This window comes from Homo sapiens, chromosome 18, assembly GCF_000001405.40.
Source record: "Homo sapiens chromosome 18, GRCh38.p14 Primary Assembly".
In the NCBI taxonomy this organism is placed as follows: Eukaryota; Metazoa; Chordata; class Mammalia; order Primates; family Hominidae; genus Homo; species Homo sapiens.
In genome coordinates, this window is record NC_000018.10 from 53,537,867 (window position 1) to 53,565,847 (window position 27,981).

Below are 27,981 nucleotides of genomic sequence, written 5' to 3' on the forward strand. Positions count from 1 at the left end.
ATCCATACATACACACCCAGGATTAATACTTTGTATCCATCAATCCAATCAAGTTGACACTCAGTATTAACCATCACAGCATGTAATCTATTCTTTAAGAGAAAGTCACATATTGATAAAAGTTTTATTAACTCTTTTGGGAAAGCAGAAAACTTCTCAGTAAGTTATTATTTTAAAGCAATGCATTGCAGATGACAAGACAGGTGGAAACTTTAAAGTTCATCTAGCCTTTCCCATTTTCTTCAATTCATTATCATCCCATATAGAAGGGAAAAATGTATTTAAAGATCTTAAAAGATGTGGATAGATTCCAACCCCTGTTCAGTTTCGGTGGAAATGTAAACTTATGGTAGTCACTGTGGAAAACAGTATGACAGTTCCTTAAAAAATTAAACAGATTACCATAGAAGCCAATAATTCCACTTTTGCTCATATACCCAAAAGAATTGAAAGCAGAGACTCAAACAGATATTCAACCACCTATGTTCATAAGAGCATTATTTGCAATAGCCAAAAGATGGAAGCAACCCAATTGTCCACAGACAAATTGGTGGATAAACAAAATGTGGCATAATCATACAATGGAATATTCTTTAGCCTTATAAGGAAATACTATCAAATGCAAGAGCATGGATAAACCTTGGAGACATTATGCTTAGTAAAATAAGACAGTCACAAAAAGACAAATACTGTATGATTCCACTTACATGAGGAATCTAGAAAAGTCAAATTCACAGAGGTGGAAAAGAGAATGGTGGTAATCAGGGACCAGGGGTTGGGAGCAAGAGTAATCATTCAATGCATACATCATTTCAGTTTTGGAAGATGAGTGAAGTTCTAGAGATGGATGGTGGGAATCATAACATAAAAATATGAATGTACATCATTTGTACACTTAAAAATGGTTAAAATTGTAAATTTTACATTATGTATATTTTACCACAATTTTTAAAAATCTCCATATAAGAATATTCCAGCACCGTCTCTATAAATACTGATATTTCCTCTAAGGCTTCTGAACTATAAATATGCAACAGCAAACACATTAAAGTAGATTGATATGCAAGAAACAGAAGCAGAACGTATACCTCAGTCTACTTTATGTCAGATATATATTACACTATCATATTCAATTTATGTAATCAACCTACAAAGGAATGTTGTGCTGCACAAAAGGCTATCAGAGATCATTATCTGCATGGGAAACTGGTTATTTGAAAAAAAAAAAAATTTGGATAAATTTCCATAGTCTGGCCTAGGGAGAAGAAGGTTAAGGGAGAAACTTAACTACTCTCTTCACTGCAAATATTTTATGGGAAGGATTTTAGAGAGGTTGAAGAATAAGATTCTCTCTTACCTCAAATACTCTATGATGTTATAATGAATATAGATAGGAAGATGTATTAATATGCATGTAGGTGAACTTAATAGTTTTCTATGAAATAATCTCCTGGCTTTGTAAAATAATTGTTCTCTAAACCTACTATAACTCATTACCTTAGCCTATTATGTTTATTTCAGTTTGAAATATTTTAATCTATTCATTTACTTTCAAATGAAGGACGGTCTCTTCAGATCAATGAGTGCCAAGCCCCTGTGCAACTGGATTGCCCTCAGCCCATTATACCACCGCTATGTTCTGTGACTTCTGATTCACAGCCAGATAGCCAGTTACACAGAGACCCCAGAAAGTTTCCAGTATCTCACTGGCTTTCATCCAGTATAACTCTGCTGAACCCATAGAAGGTCCTTCCTTTCCTCTCCCTGGTATTCTGATTCGCAAATGAATTATTTTAGAAGAAGCAAATCTCAAGAATTCAGAAATGCCAGATCGCTTCCTTTATCTTTGCCTGCCTACAAGGTTGTGAAGATGAGAAATGTACTCAAGATGATTAGTTCCCTTCTTACTTCTTCTGCTTAGTTCTGTTCTGACAGTTTATAGTAACCAAATAAATGGAGAGACAGAGTAGAGGAAGAAATAAATAATTACTGAATGCCTGATGTTTTTGAGGCAGCCAGACTCCCTGCCTAGATTTTGGGGTTCATATAAACTTTGTGAACTAAAAAACCATTTTGCATAAGATCACTGGAAATATGGCAAGGATGGTTCATCCATCATGCTTTTCTCAAAGTTTCATTGGCCTGATAGTGAAACAAATCAATAAAACATTTCTGAGTTGTGTGGGAGGGCTTGCTTTTCAGGCCTGTATATTAATTTCTTCTTCTTTCTTCTTTTTCTTTTCTTCTTCCTCTTCTTCCTCTTCTTCCTCTTCCTCCTCCTCCTCCTCTTCCTCCTCCTCCTCCTCCTCCTCCTCCTTTTCTAATACATTTTTTTCTGAGTCCACTGATATTTTAATAAGAAATTGGGATATGCTGTGTTAGGGGCAACTTTACAGGCATCAACATAATTATTGAATCCTGGACTTTTTTAAAAAAAAAAAGACTTAAGTTTTATTCTACTTTCTATTTACGGAAGTCTAAATTATATCTTACCTTTTATTTCTCTAACTCTAAGCTTAATCTATTTCTTATTTACCAATTTCTTATTTTCATGTTGTTATATCATTTTTCCTTTTTTGTAACTAATTGCTCTCATCCTCCTTAACTTCTGAAATTCATAATTTGATGCAATAAATAGTTAGGCAATTATTCCTGAGATAATTGGAATGTTCTCATTAGCAGTTCAAAAGATTGCTTGAAATAAATAACAGAAGTAATTTTTCCCAGAGTCCTTTCAGATTTAATTAACATTCTTCTTTATAAATTAATAACAGTCCTTTAACTTCCCCGTCTTTGCTAATATCTATTCTGACTCTTCATATAAGTTTGACAAAATATCTGTTAGTAGAACAACTTTTCACCATCTTAACGTTTCTTAAGAATTTTATTTTTGTGCTATTCTTTGAACCTGTGGTGGATTTCCTGAGCTACTTTTTTTCTTTTTATTCAAGCTAAAACTGTTCTTTGATGTGGAACTCTCCTAACAATGGTAGCATTTCAATTTTGTAGATGTGACTCATTTGTCATGAATTATTCCTATTTCTTCCCTAAATAGGATGTTTCAGAAAACTAACTGTAACATTTACTTCATAGGGATGGTGTGGGCTTAACTTTAAATTAGACAATGTGTACAAAGCCCTTAGAATTCCTGGTTCTTGACAAAAGCCTAATGAATTCTATTTCTATTCTTTCTGTCTCTGTACTCAATCTTTTGCTTGACATTTATGAACCTTTTCATATGTTTCAAAAAGTGCGCATGGGAATTTAGCAGCTCTGTGGTTTACGTGTGTTTCTTACTTTATAGGTATAATTTCCAGCATGTATGCAGATGAAGAACGCAGATTTCCAAAGGATGGTATTATTATAAAGTGTTTTACTTTTCCTTAGTATATCCAAAAAATATTTTAGAGCCTTTTGTTCACATACAAGGCACAATGCTAAGAGTACCAATGAACCAAAGGATGAAACTATACATCTTCTATAGTTATACACTACATATATGTGTATGTATATGACCATAGTTCAAATGAGACAGTTAGATACCTTTAGTCAAGTAAAGAGTAATTTTCATCAGAGTACAGAGCATCAAATTAAATTCACAGAAGCCCCATAGGGAACATGGTATTGAGAAGAGCTTTAAATAATAAAAAAGACTAAAACTTTAGAGATGGAAATGGGCAATTCAGATGAAAGAAACTATATGAGCAAAAAGATAAAAAGGTTAGAATTTATAGACTTATATGGAAACTAAAGTATGTCGGATTTTTTTTTATTATTTGGAGAAGTGTATGGTTTGTGGGAAAAAAAGGTGGGAAACACATTTGCATAATCAATGGAGATCTTGTAATGATGGTCCAAGATATGTAATTCTGTTAGCAATAAGAAACCACTGAGCATGAAAGCTTAATTTTCTCATTCACAAATGCTTTTTGAGTATTTATTGTGTACCAGTAACTAAGCTAATGTTGGAAAAACAACAGTGATCAATGTCAATATGACCCCTGCTCTCATGGAGTTTATAATTTACTTTTGGAGACAAAGAACAAATGAACAAATCAGTGCAGTAATTATAATTGTGAAGAGTGCTATAAACTAAGGTTGTATTATAGAAACATAGTATCTTTTGAGGTTATTCACCATTATCAAAGAAGAATGGAGCCACTTCAGACCAGGCAAGACTTCCTCATGAGGGTGGCATTTATCCCCTTAAACTGAAGAGGATACAAAAGAGTCATTCATGTGAATATTGGGATGATGCAACATTCATTCCAGAGAAAGGAAAAAGCATAAGCAAATTCTTGGGTTGAGAACAACCTTGGCTTATGCAAAGAACAGACAGGCAGTTAGTGAAGTTGCCTTTCATTGACAAAGAGGAAGAAATGGAGTCAAAGAAGTTAAGGAGTTAGGATTCGGCCAGATCATGCTGTACCTGCAATGCATGCTACTGTCTATATTCCAAAGGAAATGCAAGTCATTTGGGGGCACTAAGAAGAAGAAAGTTAACATCCAATTTATGTGTATCAAGGTAAAAAAATTGTACATATACTACCTCACATGTGCAAAATCATGTAACAGCCTTTAGTGTCTGGAATGTCTTCTATTTTGCCCATGATTCCCAGCTCTTGTTGGGTACTAAGATAAATCTCAATCTTGCCAATGAAAGGAACCTATGGTTTCTTTTTCATCTACAGCAGCCTCTTTCTGCTTAGCTGAAGCTCTTTGGGATGAAGTCACGATGTTCAAAGCTCTAGCTCTCTGCCACAGCTGAATTTCTTATTGCTAAGGCCCTTCTTTTAAACAATCCTTGTTAAAGTGGCTTCTGGGCACATCTCATACACTGAGAATCTTTTCTCTCAGTGTGGGAGCATCTCATGATCTCCCTCACTTGCTTGGCCCCATCTGTGTTCTTTCCAGAGCCATTAAATATCTGTGTCTCAGCCTTGTCCTCCACCTGGTCCCCAGCTAGGTTGTCTACTATGCAATCTCTGTTTAAGGGTTAGCTTCCCCTGCCCATGATAATCCTATGGCAAATCCTAGACTCTCAGCTCAGATATCGCCTACATGCCCCACTGAGAGTGTGCCAAAATTACCAGATTCCTCAGGTGTCAACGCGGGTGCTACAGTAGCACACTCCCTCCCAAGCATACCAAACCACCACTTTCCTTTGTAGCAGTAGCTAGCTTTCTGAGATGTTTCTGTTCAAGAATTCTATAAAACACAATGGACCAATGACTTCTGGTTTTGCCTTCCCTCCCTACCTATCTACAGTTCCTATCATCCCTGGCCTCTCTGCCCTAGGGTTTCACCCTCTACAGGGTGTCAGGACCCTTCAACCTAACCTCTTAATATTTTTATTTCTCCCTGCACACTTCTGCCCTCTGAGGCACCACATATTGTCCAATACACATTTTCTGCCTCCTTCTCAGGTCTAGTAAAAATTCTTCTACATCATATTTTGTAAATCTTCACAGTGTGCCTATTATATCAGTATCTTCATTTCCTTTAAGTCATTGAAATCTTTGAGTCAATGGTTGTGAAGTCACAGGGCACCAAGATTTAAAGTAAATACAAGTTTTATGAAATTACTATTTATAAAAATATATATCAATTTTATATGTATGTATTAAAAATAAATCTGGACCTTGTGAGGAGAATAAATTCCAAATGGCACAAAAATTCAAAAAGAAAGCTACAGGAAGTATGAGATGGTGGATTCAATGGTGGTAAAGAGAAGGACATGAAATGGATCGGTATATATGAAATGTGTACATTTGAAATGTGTTTTGGAGGTAGAAACAAACATACTTGCAGGTGGATTGGATGGGAGTGAGTTTCTGGTGAACAGGCTTTTAAGTTGATAGAAACATTTTCTGTGATGCAGTAGACTGGGAGAGAAACTGTTTGGGCATGTGTGAGAGAAAAAGAGTATGATTTTTAAATATATCCAAGAGGAGATGTCAAAATGCAGTTGAATATTTAAATTGGAAACATATAAGAAAGGTCTGTACTGGAGACAAATTTAGAAATTGCCAGCACATGGCATCTAAAGCCATAGGAATGTATATGATAAAGAGAGATTTAGACCTGGAACTGAGCCTTAGGAGAATGCAGAATATAGATATTGGGTAGAGTAGGAGCAATCAGATGAACAGGCTTGGAAAGAATGGCCAACAGGAAAAAACAGGATTTTCCAACAACAGGAAAAAACAGGATTTTCCTTTAACAGGAAAAAAGCATTAGTATGGCAGAAGAAAAATGGAAAGAGTACTAGAGAGGGAACGAGAGTTCAACTGTGTTGAAAAGTTGGTAAAATGCTGGGCAAGACAAAATAAAATAATGTGGATTGAAATGGTCAACATGAAGGTCATTGCTAGGTAACTACACCCTCTGGTTTTCCTGGGATAGTCCTGGTGTGCATCATGCCCCGGTATAGTTAATGCAGTTACTTAGTAGTATATAGTATCTACTTTCACTTTCAAATGTGTCTCCTTTCAATGATAATTTATATGGTCCTACTAGTTATTGGTGACCAAAGCAAGAGTAGTGAAATGGTTTCAGTAAAGGAGTGGGGATGAAAGCCAGATTAGAGGAGATTAAAGATGGACTGGGAAGTTATAAAGTAAATACTGTGCATATTTCTGTTGGAGAAGTTTTCCTATGAAGAAGAGGAGAACAATGAGGAAGTTACTGGAAGGGTAACTGGATTTAACTGGATTTTAAAATGAACTCTAATATTGCAGTGATTCTTCTGACAACCAGGGCAATTTTTAAATCAAATTCTTTTATGTCATAAATTTTCAGAATAACTAGCATTATGGCTTAAGGAAAAAAACCTCTGGGCTAGGTGCAATAATTACACACTCCAGGAAAGTTGCATGAGTGAAGGTTGCCCTCACTTACAGCAGAAAATGGACCTTTTCAGGACCCAAAGCAGGAGGCTACTCCACACCCTCATCCAAGAGGATAGAGAAGCAGAGGCCAGGTGTTAACAGGCTGAATAATTGGCACCCAAAAATTTCAGGTCCTAATACCCGGAACTTGCAATTTGACCTTACTTGGAATGGAAAAAGAGTCTTTGCCAATATGATTAATGATTTTGAGATGGGAGATTATCTTGTATTCTCTGAATGAACCCTAAATATAATCACGAGTGTCCTTATGAGAGAGACAGAGACATATTAAACACAGACACAGAAGAGGAGGAGGCAATGTAACCACGGGGGCAGGGCTAAGAGTGATGCAGTCACATGCTAATGAGTGTTGACAGCCACCAGGAGCCAGAAAAGGCAAGGGATGGATCCTACCCTAGAGCCTCTGGACAGAGGCTGCTCCAGGTGACACGTGATTTCATCCCAGATTTCAGACTCTGGCTTCCAGAACTGTGGGATAATAATTTTCTGTTGTTTAAAAGCACTAAATTTGTGGTAATTTGTTATAGTAGCCACAGGAAACTAATATGCTGGGTTTCAGGGTCTGTGGAATTTTCCTTCTGACAAAATGACTCAGGGACATTTTTTAATAGAAATGTTTGCATTACTACAATTAATGTGAAACCCCCCTGGAGCCCTCTTTTCCTATCTTCAACCCAGCTTCCAGTAATGTCTACTACTTTCACTTTTTTATTGTTGTTTTCATTTTTAATGAGGAAATGGTTACCTCAGTAAGACACCCTACAGAATCTGGCTGCCCAGAAACAAGACTCTGAGATGACAATTCTCACCCTGCCCCATTGTGTAAAGCTCAATCCACACAAGACCACGAATTCTAAAATGTAATAAAAGAAGAGACAAAAGCCAAATTCAAAGAGGCTAGTAAAAGTATCCTTGAGCACTGTCATGATACCCAAAGGAGTGCCCATTGGAGCATTTCAGATTTCAGATGTTCAGATTTGAGATACACTACCAGTATGATGAAAATACCCCAAAACCAAAAATAATCCAAAATTGGAAACACTTCTGGTCTCAAGTATTTCAGATAAGGGATAGTCAACCTGTATTATAAGTACTTTTACCCAGAAAATAGCCATTCACATATCCTTTATGATCTAAAAATATGAGCATGAGGAGAAGACTGTACCTGTAGGGGATTCTAACAGCAATTCTACATCTGATGAGGGTTCAAGGTCCACGCTAAGACTTCTGTGAACTTCCAAAGGGGCAGAGTAGGAAATGTCATCTTAGGTCTTGTTTCTGGGCATCCAGATTCTGTTGGGTATCTTCTTGGTGCAACCATTTCCTCATTAAAACAACAACAACAAAATAGAAGTGAAAATAGCAGACTTTACTGAAGATGCAGTTGAAGACAGGAAGACAAGAGAGGGCCTACGAGGGTTTTCCATCAATTATAGCAATGCAAACATTCCTTTTTTTTTTTTTTTTTGAGATGGAGTCTCGCTATTCACAATGCTGGAGTGCAGTGGCACGATCTTGGCTCACTGCAACCTCCGTCTCCCAGGTTCAAGTGATTCTCCTGTCTCAGCCTCCCAAGTAGGTGGGACTACAGGTGCGTGCCACCATGCCCAGCTAATTTTTGTATTTTTAGTAGAGACAGGGTTTCACCATGTTGGCCAGAATAGTCTCAATCTCTTGATCTCGTGATCTGCCTGCCTTGGCCTCCCAAAAACATTCCTATTATAAAATATCCTTGAGTCAGTTTTTCAGAAGGAAAATTCCACAGACCCTGAAACCATGTAACTCCTGCCCTTACAAAATCTCTCAGACTCCCCTCTTTTTCCCTTCCTTTCATGGTGTCTCTGTTATGTTCTATTCCTTATAGAATATTTCAAAAATTAAAATTCCTCTCGTTCTTTCCCTCAGGGAAGCATGACTACCTGTTTTGTTGTTCAGCCTATTACTAACACTCAGAGCATTAGGCTCTCACCTCCTAACCCAAGAAGCTAATTAAGTTTCTTTCTCCCCAAAGAATTTCTTCTATGGAAGGAATTCTGTGGCCAGCTGGTATAATATAGTGCTTGTTCCGTGGTAATAGTAAATGAAAACTTTATCCTGGCATTCTCCTGTCACATTTATCTATCTAAACGAGAGAGAAGACCTCTAGACCAGACTTTACAGCAAGTAAAGGTATTGCTTCTTCCTCTGGATTCTCTTGGGTCAAATTGGAATGCTCCTTAGACCCAAAGTTACAAAAGGTGATTATTTTCAGACTAAATTTGTGGCCTTCCTAAATGTGCTTTGTACACTAAAGGCATTTTCAACATGACTTTGCACATGAAGGTCAAACTGAAAGAATGAAAGAATGAATTTGTTGAATTCAATTTGTTGTTGCATCATCTTTAAGAAATAATGTACCATATATGGTCTAAGGTCAAGTATTTGATAAAAATAATATAATTAACATATTTAACAATGTTGGGTGTAGCCCACTGTTCAGTTCTAGTTTATTTTCAATAGAAACTCTGACTGTAGTGTCTTCGATTTGAACTGTTTCCCCAGTGTTTCAGAGAAGTTTGACTTACTCTGATAAACAAATAATAAACACTAATAAAATTGAATATCAATATGTGCAACATTCTGTGTCAATTGCAAGTTGAACATCCCTAATCTGAAAATCCAAAATTGGAAATGCTCCAAAACCTGAACATTTCTTAATGCTGACGTAATGCTCAAAGGAAATGCAAGTCTGAGCTTTTAGAATTTTGGATTTTTGGATTAGGAATGTTCAGCTCATAGGTATAATAAAAATATTTCAATATCCAAAAAAAATCTGAAATCTGAAACATTTCTGGTCCCAAGTATTTCAGATAAGGGAGACTCAGCACATATCTCACCTACTACAGAAAACACTCCTATGTGTAAAATACTATCACTGCAAGTTTATTGGTGAAGAAACAGAAACTAGGGTACTTGTGTACCTTGCCATTAATCACCCAATTCAACCAATTCATATGCAAACAGCTGGGCCTTGAAACCACTTCTGTCAGCTCTAAAATATGTACTTTTTATCACTAAATGGAGTAACATTCAACTGCTAGTCCCTAGGAATTCCCTGAGAAAGTGTTTCTAATCTATCATGATTATAGAAACCACCTGGAACTCTTGTTAAACTATGAAACCCTAGGCCCCTATCAGAGACACTAGTTCAGTTGGTCTGGGGTGGGGTCTGAGAATCTGTAATATTTACAAGATCTCCAGTTGATCTCTATTCTCATCTCATGTATCAATAAGAACTCTGCTGTACTCAGTAGAAAATTAACTCAAACTTCTAACTTAAATTTCAGAAAGAAACTATATATTGGCTTGGGTACCTGAACAATGTAGGGATAGACTAACTTCAGACACATCTCCACTATCACCTTCCACCTGGGGGCTCCCATGAGAAAACTGCTTCCTGGATAATGCAAATAGTAGTTCCAGAATTGACTCTCCTTGGCCCTGGTTGGCTAGACATGGATCATGGGTTCTTCCCTGACCCCATCACTGTAAACAAGTGATTGCAATTTTCTTTCTTCTTAGTTTTATTCACCTACTCCTCCTCTGAAGCCCAGGGATGGTGTCAATTGCCTTGGAGCCCATGGGATGAGAATAGAGAAGGAAAAGACACTATGGATTCACTACCAGAAGGAAGGAAAGGTACATGCTAGGTAGCAAAATAACGGAAGTTTACTAGACCTCTCTAGGGTAAGATTTAAAGTTTAGAAGACTACACTATGTTAGTTACCTTAATACACCATCAGAGAATAGGGCTAAAAATGTTTCCTGATCATGGCAAAGATATTTTGATTGCTAAAGTACTTCCCTCCAAACCTATACATTCGGGCTGATTATTCTAAAAAGCCATTGGTATTATTCCCATCAGACTTATGTTTCAAGTCAATACATTTTATTATATTCTTGGATACTTACTCTTATCCAAGCAGGGGGAGGGGAAGTAAACTACAGAGTCTTCTCATTTTGCCTGATTTTCCATTGTTTAAAAATTTTTTTTTAAAAAAACAATCTTACATTTTGTGTGAGGCTTACTAGATTCATGTTAAAGTATAAAGTGAGCTTTTTGGAAATTCACATCTTAGAGGAAATTCCCACATTTTTGGAAATTCACATCTTGCTTCAGTTTCAAGAAGGAAATGTTTACTAAATTAAGATGAAATAGCTGCACTGCCTATTTGCAACTCTCAGTTAAAAATGGGTATACTTTATCACTGAATATTTCCTAAAATAAAACTTTATAACCATCTGGATTCAGTGCTTTCTTGCTGATATTTCTTGTAGATAAATGGCTTCTTAATGACTCTTTTGATCCCAAAGGATGTATTAAACTCTAAAATTATGTGTTTAAGTAACAACCCAAAAAGAGCCAATTTGATCTGCAAGCTTCTTTACCTATCACTGCATTTCAAAATGTTAAGAATATCAGAGAATTTTTCTCAGAAGTTCTTTGCCCTGAGAAAAATTACAGCCAATAGCATTGTCTCTTATTATTAATATGATTAGATATAATGATATGCACCGTTAGTCTCCTTTGTTGTTCTATTCTTTTTGAAACAACTGATCACCCCATCTGTCCTTTCTCTTCAACTCTGTGTTGCATCTACAGAGGCACATTGGACACTGAGGGAATATTAATATTCACTTATTGAGGACAGCAAATTATCAATTAACGTTTTTCTTCAAGTCTTGCAATAAAATCAGATCTAGAATAAAAACAAAGTGTTCTGGAAACAATCTCCAGATTTTTCATAGAGGAGAACATCTTACATTAATCCTTTTTACAAATATATTTTTATATAAATATGTAATTAAATACAGATAAGTGTTATTTAAAGTATAGTAACTAAGACTATGCTACAAATGCGAATGTGAATGTATGTATCTATGAATATGCAGAATGCCCCAGTTATACTATTTTCTTCTCTAGCTTATACTTTAATGCTAACACTGATGAGGGAGTGAATTAGGGAGATTATTTCAGATAATTATTTCGAACACAGATGAACCTCAGAGTTTAAGATACTAAAAAACAGAGCCCCTGAACACCAGATTCTTCTACTTTTGAATCTATGAAAGTGTTCATGGTGCAGAAGACTCATTCCATACTTTTGAAATCTCTTTCATCTTGGCTTTTTCTGTCATGGACAAATACTGCACCTTAGTCCAGAATTATGCTAAGAATTTTTAAATCTAAAATATGAAGGTAAAAAAAAATAAAAAAGATCCTTAAATGTGAGACTTAAAGAGCAATAAAATGAAATAAAATGGAAGTGAGCTTGGGCTTTTCTAGACCAACCTTCCAGAATACCCAGAGAGATTTGAGCTGAAATCTAAGGCCTCCAACAGTGTAAGGGGATCTCTTTTAGTTTTCAGGAATTAAAACAAAGCTTGGACAGTGATGGGAAATTTATTGGTTCACACGATCAGTCTTCAACAACATTAGAAAGCTCATATGCAAACCAGGGACACTGGTACAAAAAAGACTCCCCAGATTTACTGTTCTGACAAGATTGGAATATGCCTGCAGCCAGTGTGTATAGAACTCTGACAGACGGAATACTATGCAGCCATAAAAAGGAATGAATTAACAGCATTTGCAGTGACCTGGATGAGATTGGAGACTATTATTCTAAGTGATGTACCTCAGGAACGGAAAACCAAACATCGTATGTTCTCACTGATATGTGGGAGCTAACCTATGAGTATGAAAAGGCATAAGAATGATACAATGGACTTTGGGGACTTGGGAGGAAGAGTGAGAGGGAGGCAAGGGATAAAAGACTACGAATATGGTGCAGTGTATACCGCTCGGGCGATGGGTGCACCAAAATCTCACAAATCGCCACTAAAGAACTTACTCAAGTAACCAAATACCACCTGTACCCCAATAACTTATGGAAAAATAAATTAAAAAACACAAAAACAAAACAAAAAAAGTGACAATAAAAGTAATGCAAATAGAAAAACAACACAGCATACATCTGTTTACACAGCATTTACATCGTATTATGTGTTGTAGGTAATCTGGAGATATTTTAAAGCATATGGGAGGATGTGCCTAGGTTATATGCAAATACTGCACCATTTTACATAGAGGACTTGAGCATTCATAATTTTGGTATTTGCAGCGGTCCTGGAACCAATTCCATGTGGATACCTAGGACAACTGTTCTCATCATTTCAACCCCATGAGCAGTTTCACTTGTTAGTATCTCTTTGAGAATTCAGTGAGAAAGTATTTATTGATTATTCACTATTTGCTTGATCACCTGAGACAGACACTGCCTTTAAGCTTCCGTTTACTGAGTTTGGGCCCAGACTTACAGAGTCAAACCGGGCTTTGCAGAGAGTATTATATGTAAGCTGAGACCTGTAAGATGAGTTCCATGTTAAACACAGCATTTCTTACACACAGGATAGGAAAGGAACACTGACCCATGTTAGTATTTACCAATTTGGTAAATTTTCAAGGCTGTTTTTGGATGTGGCTTAATGGGAAAGCCATGGTAACACATATGAGATAGCATTGTTTATATACTCTTAATCTTTTAAATTTGTTTTTCTAAAAGGTGGGTACTTGAGTAATGTCTGTTCATTCTTTTATCAAGTATTTGCTAAGCTTCTAACATGAGCCTCATCAATATGACATTTAGGAATAAAGCTTGGTTTATCTCACTAGGGTGTCCTACCTCAGAAGGCTGTTTGGTTGAAGATGGAAATATTGTGAACATTGCTGACAATTCATTTATTCACTTCAATATCTCTTTGTGAGGTAACATATCAGTCAGTAGGGATACTATTGTGATCTTAGAAATAACCATAATAAAAGCAATAGGTATGCCAGAAGCACTAAATTTGAATCCCAGATGGTTCATTCTCTACCTTGAACAATTCACTTAACCCAACTCCTCTCTCCATAAAATGTGGCCAATAAGCCCTGCTAACTTCATAGGTTTATTGCAAGAATAAATTAAAAATATATAAAGCAATTTCTAAGCTGTAAAATGCTATGCACATTGTTGGTATGTTTAAGTTTTTCTTCCCATTCTTCTGTGTGGCGATTACAGACAGAAAATCTGTCTTGTATCTCCTATTTAAGCAAAAGGAAGCAATTAAAGCTGCTTCCATCCTCCTTCTTGTAGCAGCTGACCGATTCTGATGGGCCAGCTTTATTGCCTCCCTCTTATCCCATCACACAAGTAACCTGCCTTGTGGGATTTGAACCGCTGTGTTCTGGCCTTGTGCCTTCTGTTAAGTGGATGTACGCCAAATTACTCGAGCAAAACTTCTCTATGGGGTCACTCCCACACAGAGAGCCAGTGCCAGGAAGTGGGGCGAGAAACCAGAGGACTCTATTAAATTTCCCATTAACTTTGTTCATATGCCCCTACTTGACCTTTCCTTGGCTGTGTCTCCCTGCTGTCCCCTCATCCGAGCAAAAGGCTGCTAAGCTTCTAAATGACTTGGAGTGCCTTTGCACTGAGGGTTGAGAGGTGCAAAGGACTCTGCTGGGTACTAGACAGAATGGTCTTTCACAAGCAGTAATAAGTCACGTTTGAACCCAAGAAACAATTGTGCTTTCAGAAATTCTGTGGCTATTACTAAACATGATTTTTGTTAGTAACGAAATTCAAGTTATTGCTCTTAATTGGGCAGTGTGATTAGCAATTCAATAGTCCAAATATGTAGGTGCTAAACAATAAGTACACATGGAGATAAAGATGGAAATAATACATACCTGGGACTCCAAATGGGGCAAGGGTGGGAGGCGTGTGAGAGTTGGAAAGTTACCTACTGGGTGCAATGTTCAATATTTGGGTGATGGGTATACTACAAGTGCAATCCCCAACATTTCACAATACACCCAGGTAACAAACATGCACATGTACCCCTTGAATGTAAAGTAAAATTCTCCAAATATTATTTCCTGTGAGCATTGACAATTATTCCTTAATTTTAAAAAAAAAGCCTTTATCATCAAATTGGCACATGCAGGTGGTGGTGTCTAGAATTCTGGATATTTCTTGAAAATATGTATTGACTTTTTCAAAAGTATTAATGGATATCAAGAAGGTATGATATATCTTTATTCTCACTTATTTTAAATCAGCTTTGATGAGATGAATTGCTCTACTAGTTTAAACAGTGTTCCCCAAAATTCATGTCTACCCAGAATTTCAGACTATACCGTTATTTAGAAATAAGGTCTTTGCAGTTATAATCAAATTAAAATGAGATGGCCCCTAATCTAATGGCTGGTGTCTCTACAAGAATACAGAAATTTAAATTTGGACAAAGAGATACAGAGAGGAAAAGGCGATGTGAAGACAGAGGCATACCAGTTACACTGGCACAAGCCAAGAATCCCCCAGGAACACCAGAAGCTAGGAAGAGGCAAGGAAGGCTTCTTCCCTAGAGCCTGCAGAGGGAGCATGGCCCTGCTGACACTTTGATTTCATACTCTTTGCCTAGAGAACTGTAAGAGAATAAATTTATGTTGTTTTAAGCCACCCAGATTGTGGTACTTTGTTATGGTAGCCCCCGGAAACTAATATAATTGCATAAAATAAAATGCAGCAGTTATAAGTGCAATGAATTTTGACAAATATCTGCACCATATAACCATAACACTCAAGATATAAAATATTAGAGCCTAAAGAGCTCCCCTTTGTCCCTTCCCAGTCTATATCCCCTCTCCGCCTCTGCCAACACACACATACCCAGCTCCAGACAACTCTTGGCTGTGTTCTGTCATTAGGTCTACTGTAGAATTTCACATAAGTGGAATCACACAGTTTGTGCTTATTTGTGTCTAGCTTCTTTCATTCAAAATGATTTGAGATGCATCCTTGTTGATGTGTATGTCAGTAGTCTGTTCCTTTTTTATTGCTGAATAATACTACGATATATTATCAAAATATGTCATTAAAAATGCACATTATTGAGGTTGGCCACAGTGGCTCACACCTGTAATCCCAGCACTTTGGGAGGCTGAGATGGGTAGATCACTTGAGGTCAGGAGTTTGAGACCAGGCTGGCCAACATGGCAAAAATCTGCCTCTACTAAAAATACAAAAATTAGCTGGGTGTGGTGGTGCGTGCCTGTAGTCCTAGCTACTTGGGAGGCTGAGGCAGGAGAATTGCTTGAACCCGGAAGACGGAGGTTGCAGTGAGCTGTGATCATGCCACTGCACTCCAGCCTGAGCAACAGAGCGAGACTCCATCTCAAAACAAACACACAATTATTTTTGTTGTTATCCTTTCACCTGTTGATGGACATTTAAACTCTTCCAGTCTGGGCTTTTATGAATAAAGCTGCTATAAAAATTTGAACACAAATTTTTAAATGGACATATGTTTTCATTTCTCATGGGAAATAAGTAGGAACACAGAATCATGCAGGTGACATGATAAACATATGTTTAACCTTAGAAGAAATGACTAAACTGTTTCTCAATGATTGCACCATTTTGTGCTCCCACTAGCAGTGTATGAGAGTTCCAGTTGATCAACATCCTAATAATTGATATCATCAGTCTCCTTCATTTTAGCCATTCTATGGGGAATGTAATGGTATTCCATTGTTTTAATTTTCATTCCTTAGTCGTTAAATCTTTTATGTGACATTTGTATATCTTCTTTTGTGAGATTCCTGTTCAATCTTTGACTCATTTACTTAACTGGGTGGTTTGTCATTTTTTTATTAAGCTGTGAGAGTTCTTTATAAATTCTGGATACAAGCACTTTTTCAGATACAGTGAAATAATTGTTCCCAATCTGTGGCTTGAATTTTCATTTATTATTTGTGTATTTTAAGGATGAAAGTTTTTTATTTTGATAAGTTTAATTTATCAATGATTTTCATTATTGTTTATGAATTTTGTGCCCTAAAAAAATTTCTACTCCAATGCCACAACTATTTTTGACTATGTTTTCTTCTAGAAGTTTTATAGTGTTTGCATCTATGTTTAGTTCTATGCTCCATTTAAGGTTAATTTTTATGTGTGATGTTAGTTATGGCCATGGTTCACTTTTTTCCCATATGAATAGCCAATTCTTACAGCACCATTTGTTAAAAAGATATACTCTCCTTCCTAAATCACCTGTGTAACTTTATTAAAAATAAGTCTACCATGTATGTGTGAGTTGATTTCAATTTCTGGATTCTATTCTGTTTCAGAGCAGATATTAAAATATCTTTTTAAAAAAATAATTGGTCTTAACAATGTAAATGTAAAAATGATCCTACTTTATTTCTATGCTAATCAATTCTACAGATATTTAAGAACCAGCTTATTTCAAGGCATTGAATCAGACTCTGTGAATAATGCAAAATTGATTAATATGATATCACAAGTCTCAAGAACTATACAATTTTAGGACAAGGTCAAAAATCCATGCTCTAGATGCTTACATTTGGATTGTGGAGAGGTAGAAATGTGTTCATGATGCTCTGGAATTTTATTCAAATTTTGGTATTATGTGAGCCTTTGTGATTTTTCATAGAGGAATTGAAGGACCTGTCCCTAAAAGAACAACTGCTTCCTAAAAATAAGAAGAAAATGTTACTGTCACCTCTCTCAACATGCATAGTGGCAGAATTAGTATTACAATTACAAATGGCAGAAAACCAGTTGGTTGATGTGATTTCTGAAAGAAAACATTGGCACACTGACTAAAATTCTTTTTTGCTGTTTTATAGAATTTAATCAAAATAGTTTGCACTTATAGACAGGTAATCAGATTTAATTTTTTAAAGAAACTGTATAGCTAAGTTTGTACACACTCATGTACACACTCATCTGTCTTCTTTGTGGCTCATGACAGGTATTGTCTCTGAGCTAATCTTCCCTTGACATATTTCTGAAACATAAAACGGAACCAGCCTAAATTTTCCTGTCAAAAACAAATCCACAATGTGGATATTTAATAGATGTTGAGAGAAAATTAGCAGTGACAAGTTTAATGCTATTTACTTAGGAAATTAAGTTGAGATACTCAGTGAAAGTGGCAGTTAGCAGAAAGCACAGAAGCCATAGGGCAAGATAGCAATTTCTCTTCCATTGCATGGTAGTGTAGCTCAAAGCATAATATTATTATAGACTTCATGTCCGCAGAACACATATGAGTACAATGAACACTCAGGTACTTCTGGAAGTATCTGTACACACTCACTGGTTTGGAAGGAAAAAGCAAGTTTAATTCATCAGAAAAAAAGTCATGTGGCTCTTGCAGCCTCAATCCTTTCCTGATGTTAAAAATCATCTGGTTAAAAATGTTTCTCTCCATGTCCTTCAGATGAGGCACTGTTTCAGACCCCTGTCAACTTGTATTAAGCAGTGCCATCCAGCTTTGTGTTTTCCTACCTGTTAAGCTGGGCTATGCCCCCTACCCTATTGTGTGTAAATGATTTTCATCTGTTCACAATACATAGAATTTATATAATTTGAGTGTCTCTGGCCATGGAGAAGGCCCTAGGCCATGCCTTTCAAATTGACATATCCTTCCTTGACTATAGCTAGATTCTCAGAGATTATAAGGAAGAGAATGTGTCTTCTGAGAATCAATGTTACCTAATTTATGGGGATGTTTTCTCATTACTCTTTTCTAATAACATTCTCTTTCTGCCTCTGCCCTTCTCTCTACCATGTGATGTAATGTGATATGAACACTCCTATTTTGGAGTGGCAAGAGGACAGGATTTGGAAACAGATTTACAAAAAATTGGGCTGAAATAAGAGAGTTCTTATGTACTAAGTCTTTTGAAAATATTAATGCAGACTTTTGAGATGGGATGGGCGTGAGCTGTCTGTCACACTATAAACCTCTCATGTGGTTTGTGGTTCTTGGTTTCATGAGGGTAAATACAATAACCCAAAATAATAACCATGAATTGGAGTATGATGTCTTTATGTAGTCCCATGGCTCCAGGGGCCATTACAACCATAAATCCTGATACTACTGAGCAAAATTCATCAAAATATCTGTCCAATGGTCATTTCTGAATGCAGTCCGACACTTTATTTCTGTCTAGATATCTAAGATTTTGTGAGAAAAAAAAACAACCCACCACATATGATCTAAGCATATTCTATATATAGAAAAACTTCACTGCTGAGGACCACTTGGAGAGAACAATCATGATTAGTATGGAACCAAAGCCGTTATATGATATGCTTAAAGAGTGCAGGTTAATGACTTTTCAGTAAATATAGAAACTTGAAGAAGGCTAACAAATCATTATCAAGCAAAATTCTTTGATCAGCTTTAATGAATAGATAATAAGTAGATCTCTTTCAAAGAAGCACAGCAATTTTTTATGTTAATGGCACTTCTAAAGTGCTTTAAATCAGCCAGTCCTACAACATGGGCTAAACATTTGCCCTACGATCCTAATTGTATAATTAATTTGCTTAGACATCATGATTTTAAATACATGTAAATATAAAAGTAAGTTTTATATTATTTAAATTAAATCCTCCATACCCCCAAGAATTCTAAATCTCAAACCATAGTAAGAATTAAAGAGGTTCATGGTGACTGACTGTTTTTGATATTTCCCTATAAGTTGTATGGAGTCCGTTTCTAAAGGAGAGAGTTTCTGGAGGCAGTTATCTACCTGAAAAAGTTGACTTAAGATTTCATCTTTTGAAAATCACCATTCCCTTGGTATCTACAGTTGTGTATATTGTCAAATAATAAATTAACGATAGATGAAATGGTAGAGAAGAATTTATGTTTGGAAACAGAGAGATACAAGCTGAACTAGCAGCTCAAATGTGAAGAAGCTGTGCGATCTTAAGCCAGGTATTTAACTTAGTTAACTCTTACTTTCCTTATCTATAAAATGAAAAATAAAACTATACAAGAATGTTTGTAAAGGATAAGAAGAGATTAATTGTAAAGTTCCTAGCAGGATTAGTGGCAAATAATAGGCACTCAGTAATGGTAACTAATACTTTTTTGAGATTGTTAGTTTCATTGTTGTAATATGGAATGAAAAAAATGAGAAAAAACAAAAACAAAGAAAAAAGGAATTTGATGCCACTTCCAGACATGCAGAGGCACTGGACATTTACAACACGTAATACAAATATTTGTTCTAAACTAGGAAATAAATGACATGGATTGTACAGGTTGTCAAACCATTAACACAAATGAATATAAAAATCTGACATTTTAAGCCATTAGAAAAATACACATAAAAGAAATAGATGATAAACTACTACAGAGTTACCAGACCTGAACAATATTCAATATGTCAGTCCGTCAGATTTTAGAAGACAACAACAAGCATAGCTTGTTGTCATCTTTATCTGCTGATCCAAATAACACACACAAAATCGCATCCATTGGCTATGTGAATGTCTGAAATGGAAAGAACCATTACCACCAGGGAGAAATGCCATCATTTCTAAATAAAGTATAATAACCCATTTTGACCAATAGAATACTAACCCATGATAAATTTATTAGAAAACCACCATTTTAAATTCAGATGAAAGCATTAACACATGCTATTTATTATGAGTTAGTTTACTCTCCCGTCATCTATGTGTTTAAATATGATATAATAGAAAATACTTTCATTAATCCCGGTTGACATCCTCCAATAAAATTTCTAAGGTCTGTGAAACACAGAAAGAGAAGTAGTAGTTCAGAACTCATGCTCAGGTTTGCCACTGAATCATCATTTAGAGACAATGTCAATGAAATAAAACATTTGTGCAGGATAACAGTCACCTGTTGTTAGAGTAATGCTAAGATGAAAAAGAGAGGTTTTTTTTTTTCCAACTCAAAGCAAAACGGAAATGTTTATTCTCAAATTGGAGATTATGCTTCTTTGAGAATGTTCTCTCCATCACCCATGCTTCATCTTTTTCATAAATCCCATGATTTGCAAAACAAAAAGGGTGTCTCTTTCAACTTGATCTCTTGGAATTGGCATGCATTTGATTCATGAAGGAATTAACCAGTCACTAATGTTAAAGAAAAATCTGGGGCACAATAAACATTTAGTGTGTATTTGAGTAAACAACAATTAATTAATTGGAGAATTATGAAGAATGAACCAAACTTAAAGAGGTTTATTTTTTCGATGACAAAACTGTGTGGTACTGCTGTTGGATACACAGACCAATGGAACAGAATAGAGAGACCTGAAAAAAAGTTTACACACCTACAATCATCTGATCTTCAACAAAGTTGATAAAATAAGCAATGAGGAAAAGATTCCTTACTCAATAAATGATGCTGGCAATTGACTCAAGATTCATTAAAGACTTAAATGTAAGATCTCAAACTATAAAAATCCTATAAGAAAACCTAGGAAATACCCATCTTGATATTGGCCTTCACTAAGTCCTTGAAAGCAATTGTGATAAACACAAAAATTGACAAGTGGAACCCATTTAAACTAAAGAGTTTCCGCACAACAAAAGAAACTATCAACAGAGTAAATAGACAACCTACAGAATGGGAGAAAATATTTATAAACTATGCATCCAATGAAGGTTTAGTACTTAGAATCTATAAGGAACTTAACAAATTAACCAGCAAAAAAACCAAACAACTCTATTAAAAAATGAGCAAAGGGCATGAACAGACACTTCTCAAAAGACATACAAGTGGCCAAGAAACATATGAAAAAATGCCAACACCACTAATCATCAGAGAAATGCAAATGAAAACTACAATGAGATACCATCTCACCAATCAGAATAGCTTTGTTAAGAAGTCAAAAAATAACATGTTGGCAAGCCTGCAGAGAAAAAGAAACACTTATACACTGTTAGTGGTAATGTAAATTAGTTCAGCCTCTGTGGAGAGACATTTGGAGATTTCTCAAGAAACTGAAGAGTTGAACTACCATTTGACCCAGGAATCCCATTGCTGGGTAAATACCCAAAGGAAAATTAATTGTTCTACCAAAAGACATATGCAACTGTATGTTCATCATTGGGCTATTCACAGTAACAAAAACATGGAATCAACCCAGGTGTGCCCATCAACAGTGATATGGATAAAGAAAATGTGGTACATATAAATCATGGAATAGTATGCAGCCATAAAAAAGAAAGAAATCATGCCCTTTGCAGCAACATGGATGAAGCTGAAGGCCATTATCCTAGGTGAACTAACATGGGAGAAGAAAACCAAAGACTGCATGTTCTCACTCATAAGTGAGAGCTAAACATTTGGTAGATGTGGATATAAACATGGGAACAATAGATACTGGGGACTACTAGAGGGGGAAAAGAGGGCGGGAGGCAAGGGCTGAAAAAGTACTTATTGGATACTATGCTCATTACTTGAGTAATGGTTTCATTTGTACTCTAAACCTTAGCATCACACAATATACCTTCGTAAAAAACCTGCAAATGTACCCCTGATTCTAAAATAATGGCTTTAAAAAAAAGAAAAATACAGAAACAAAACAAGGAATTATTTGATTGCTTTGCCTAGTTTTAGGTACCTTGTTGAAAAGCCCCAGATCACATCATTGTATGTTGGTTGACTGCTTATGATTGGCTGGGACTAAGTTTTATTTCTGTCTAACACAAGCATTACCAGAAATGACCCAAGTTAAGTTTCACAAATGTTTGCAACTTACGCGAGTTTGAGGTCACTTATGAGGGCTAACTGGTTTTGTCTGCTCAGGGATTCTTCAGGCCTGGTCTCCATTTTAATTTACTTCAACACTAAGAAACATGAGATTACACCTGAGGTTCACTTTGTGTGTTAGTGCACTATCTAGACATCTGTGATTTTCTTTTTTGATCTACTAACCAGGCTAAACTACAGTTTTCAATCATTCAACCAAGCATTAATCTAGGTGTTGCTATGAAGGTAGTTTGTAGGTGTAATTAAAGTCTATAAACAGTTGAACTTTAAGTAAGGGTAGGGCTGATAACGGCAGTTCAAAGGTTTTAAATCAGAGGTGAGACTTCCCTGAAGGGAAGAAAATTCTGCCTGGGGACAGCAGCTCCAGTCCCTGCCTGAGAATTCCAGCTCGCTCTTCCTGATGTTCTGACCTACAGATTTCCAACTTGCCTGGCCAGCCCCTACAATAATATAAGCCAATTACTTGTAACAAATCTCTTAATATATATCTTCTATTGATTCTGTTCCTCTGGCTGAACCCTGAATGATACAACATCCTTTTTGAAAATCCACATTTAAATATCCAACTTAAGGTTGGTCCAGTTCTTCAACACCATTGCACTACATAAGGCCTGCACTTTATAAAACAACCATTTAGCATGTATTGAAAAAAATCTTAGATATGATTGATTAGCTGCAATATGTTAAATAGCTGTTTATGAAATATCATATTTCCAAGTTTTGCATACTAATATGTTCCTCTAAATATGGGAAAATATGGCCTCATGAAGATTAATGAAGCCTCTTTTTGTTACCAAAGATAAGGCCAGCTAATGCTTCTGGAGGCATCAACATGATATATAAACCTTTTAACTACAGGGTTGTCATGATTTGACCAAAATATCAACCTGTGATCTCAGATTCAGTTATTCAATGCCCTTTGATAGTCTCAGTATATCAGTTAATAAGTGTGCAGTATAGTTTATAACTGTAAACTAAGAAAAAATCAGCTTAGCAATAGACATTGGCATTCTAGCCTTCTATAGCAAGGTCACTTCTAATATTTACAAATAATTCTAATTTATTTAATTATCAGTTAGATATCAGAAGGTAAGAGTAATCATTAAACAACAAAGCAGTTGTTAATTTTTCATCGCTAAATTACCATGGCAGATTTTCTTTCTGTTTTCCTTTTGACTGTAGCAAGACAAATCTCCATGGAAATGAGAATGTGTTGTAATGCTTCTATGAGATAAAACTCACTTATTCCCTTTGAAATCATCTCTGGATCCAGATTGTCCCTTTAATACTGCTGATCTATGCTATGTAAACAGGTGTGCTTTCCTTCATGCTTCATGTGTACAGTTTTCACTCCTCCTATAGAATGTGATAAGTGGGCTTTTTCACTCCCATTTTTTTTTTCTTTTACTTGAATCTTCAGAACTTGGTATGTTAGAATTTTGCACCTTGTATTAGTCTGTTTTCACGCTGCTGATAAAGACATACCTGAGACTGGGTAATTTATAAAGGAAAAGCGTTGAACTACCATTTGACCCATGTGAGTCTTAATGGACCCACAGTTCCACATAGCTGGAGAGGCCTCACAATCATGGTGGAAGGTGAAAAGCGTATCTTACACGGTGGCAGACAAGAGAGAATAAGAGCCAAGCAAAAGGGAAAACCCCTTATAAAATCATCAGATCTCATGAAACTTATTTACTACCATGAGAACAGTATAGGGGGAAACCACCCTCATGATTCAATAATCTCCCATCAGGGCCCTCCCTCAACACATGGCAATTATGGAAGCTACAATTCTAGATGAGATTTGGGTGGGGACAGAGCCAAACTCTACCATATCTGAAGCTCCTTGAAAGTTAGCATATGGGCCGGGCGCGGTGGCTCACGCCTGTAATCCCAGCACTTTGGGAGGCCGAGGCGGGCGGATCACGAGGTCAGGAGATCGAGACCATCCTGGCTAACACGGTGAAACCCCGTCTCTACTAAAAATACAAAAAATTAGCCGGGCGTGGTAGCGGGCGCCTGTAGTCCCAGCTACTCGGGAGGCTGAGGCAGGAGAATGGCATGAACCCGGGAGGCGGAGCTTGCAGTGAGCCGAGATCGCGCCACTGCACTCCAGCCTGGGCGACAGAGCGAGACTCCGTCTCAAAAAAAAAAAAAAAAGAAAAAAGAAAGTTAGCATATGTTCAGAACCTTAAAGGAATTTGATAAAGTTGGAGCAGCCCATTTGGGTTTGAAAAAATAAAAAATAATAAGAGCAAAAGAACTAGGGAGAATATGCCATAGCCTTCCTACCTCATAAGTATTTCCTGTTGTTGAAGGCAAACACCAGCTAAACTCTGAAGCAAGGAGGAATAACCGGAAAATTAGATTCCTAATACCATTTCTCCCATCAAGTCTAATTATATGTCAATTCAAATATAAGGCATATTTTAATTGGCCCTTAGATTCCATAAGGAAATTAAAGCATATTTACTTTCAATAAGTAATTATAATTTTCTCATATTGACATTCATTGCAAAGACCAAGGCTTAGCCCACGTTGTTGGAATTAATAGGGGATATACAGGAAAAGAGCTTCTTAAACTAATATATACCTTTGTTAGGAAATATTGGGTTGCAAGCAAAAGAGATGTACTTAAACCATCTTACATAAAAGGGAGACTTCATTTTAAGAATATTCAAGTGCATTGTGGTCCCAGATATATCATGGAACCCAGAACCGGAAAAAAGCAGAGGCACAGCCAATCCCTGTCTCCACTTTCTCTGAAACACATGGAATTATCACTCTGCCTCACTCTACATGTCTTCTTCATGATTTTCTTCTTCTGCAAAGCAATTTCCCTGGGTCTACGTTCACGTGATTATCAATGCCTTGCTTATGTGATCTTTCAGTTTAAAATACCGACAGACTAACCAGTGTTTTTGAATCCCAATTTTAAATTGCTTGGTAAATAAACCATTTGATTGGCTAATCTTGTTCTGGGTCTACCACTACTTTGGCTCAACTCAAATTCTAGTTTTTCCCAGAAAGGTGGAGTCTTTGGCCACCTTCCTACATAGCAGGGGTCATGACACAAGACTTTCCAAAACCAAAGGTAGTTTTCAGAGAAATAAATGGGAGCTGGGTGGGTGGACACACCACCCTATCCAATAGAAGTGTGAATAGAATCCTAATCCCTAAATTTAAGAAACTCTATGTCTTTTCTGAATTTTCACTCCTGACTTTCTGAAAAATGTTTAATTTTCACCTATTGATTCAGTAGAATGATAAATAGTATTCACTTCTACTCTCAAAATTCTCCCCGTTTGAATGATAAATGTAGATGTAGCAGGTATGCACTTGAATCAAATTTCTCTTTATTTCAAGGTGGTGGTGTTGATAGAGTGGTTCAGTTGACTAATGTATGACATGACACCCTTCCGATGCAGCTATATTTAAATATACTTAAATCTGTATGGGAACCGATCTAGCAGCAGTGAACTAAAAATTAGTAGAGTTACGACTAATGGCACTGAGAAAGACATGACAGTTACAGAAATAAGGGATTTCAGGGGAGAAACAGATTCAAACTATTAGAAGAGTGGGGAAAGACTCTTACTGTGAAAAGCTCTGTTGACGTTAAGGTCTGTCGGCTTTTTCTGAGCCCAGGACTCTCTGCAGAGACTTTTGGAGGAAGTGGTAAAGCAGCTGGTGAAAATCATAAGCTTGGAGCAATCTCCACTGAGTGAAGAAAAATGTTTTAAATGCATTTGCTTCACCTGATCCATTTGCTTCTACAATGGTCTCTATAATGAGATTTTCTTACAATTTCATAGAGATGGTCAACTCCCCCATTGCACAGGACTCTTAGGAAGTCTTTCTAGCATTTTTCCTAATTAGAGAATATACTGCCACCAACTGAATTGTTCACACTGATGGGGTCAACTACTCCTTTCACCTAATGCAACCTTTCCCTAGAAAGGTATTAAGTCATCATTAACAACAATGAAATCACCATATTCGGTAGCAAATGTTAAAGTGAATAATTTGGGTACAATTTACTTTTAATACAGGCAAATAAAAAACTTGCACAAGTTCACTGTGGATTACATTTTGATTTCACTGTAGATATCAAATATAAGGACTTGTCCTGAATCCCTCTGAGCTGGGTGAGATTTCTATCAGATAAGAAGCCAAATCTTAGTAAGGCTTATGCTTAAAACTACTTTGCAAATAGAAAAGAACTTTCAATAATTAAATCTAATGAATACATGCAATCACTCTGAGAAATAAGCTGTATTTTCAAGTAGATTTGAACAAGAGACTTTGTAGGGACATTAGGACCCATTATCCCAGCACACTTGGGCTTTGAGAAGTCAAGCAAGAACTAGCCCTGTCCAAAGTCCTTCTCAAAACTGCTTTTATATGACCACTTCCTTTATTACTTTCACTTACTCCATTTATTATTTATTTATTAATTTTTGAGATGGAGTCTCACTCTTGTTGCCCAGACTGGAGTGCAATGGTGCTATCTTAGTTAAATGCAACCTCTGCCTCCCGAGTCCAAGCAATTCTCCTGCCTCAGTCTCCCGAGTAGCTGGGATTACAGGCACATGCCACCATGCCTGGCTAATTTTTGTATTTTTAGTGGAGACGAGGTTTCACCATGTTGTGCAGGCTGGTCTCAAACTCATGACTTCAGGTAATCCACCTGATTTGGCATCCCAAAGTGATGGGATTGCAGGCATGAGCCACCATGCCTGGCCTATTTACTCCATTTTTTAAATGTCTTCTTTAGCCCTCTAAGGAGAAAACAAGGGAACCACAGGTCCATGTCAGAAGCTATGGACTTGCCAAGGCTTTTCTACAATGTACATGTGTGGAAAAAAATTGCCAGAGCAGAAACATTCTGCATGTCCACTGACATCAACTCAAACTGTACAAAGTTATCCAAAAATGAAAAATATATTTAAGGGACATATACAATAAATTACAGTTATCTTTTGTAACAGCTGAAAGGTAAGTTACCTCAGGATCAAACAGAATCTAGGATTGAAACGCTGCAAAATTATTTCTACTTTCTGGAAAGGTCAACCTCATACTCTCCTGTGGCAAACTGGCTTCGTTAATGTGCTGGAAAATACAATGGCTGCCAGCTCTCAAACATGACTTCCCACCCATTGTCAGAGAGGGATTGATTTGTATTATCTCTAGATGCCTAAGCTCAAACATTCCAAGCATCAGCTATGATAGGTCCTCCGTGTGTCAGGTGCTTATCCTTGCACCATCAACTATGGTCTAATATGGAGGCTATAAGAGCATGGCACCCAGCATTGTGTTCACCATGGTTGGATTAGAGTTAGGAGGTAAGACACTGGAGTATTTTCCCAAAAAATGCTCTGCTGGTTTCAGAAGGTGGAAGAAGTAG

The 27,981-nt window shown here is 36.6% G+C and overlaps 1 protein-coding gene across 6 annotated transcripts in view; it reads right to left on the bottom strand.

The window, feature by feature from the left end:
- Positions 1-27,981, bottom strand: part of LOC124904304 (uncharacterized) — a 266,099-nt gene that overhangs the window by 57,032 nt on the left and 181,086 nt on the right. Inside the window, exons 2-3 of one of the 6 annotated variants that reach the window (XR_007066373.1) lie at positions 26,173-26,294; positions 8,077-8,235 (exon numbers count right to left, since the gene is read on the bottom strand). The exons of 4 other annotated variants lie outside the window; for them this stretch is intronic. The gene's annotated coding sequence lies outside the window, so the exon portion shown is untranslated. Of the gene's footprint in view, positions 1-8,076; positions 8,236-17,361; positions 17,610-26,172; positions 26,295-27,981 lie in introns of those variants that run through there. One more of the 6 variants, XR_007066374.1, reaches the window with a different exon arrangement.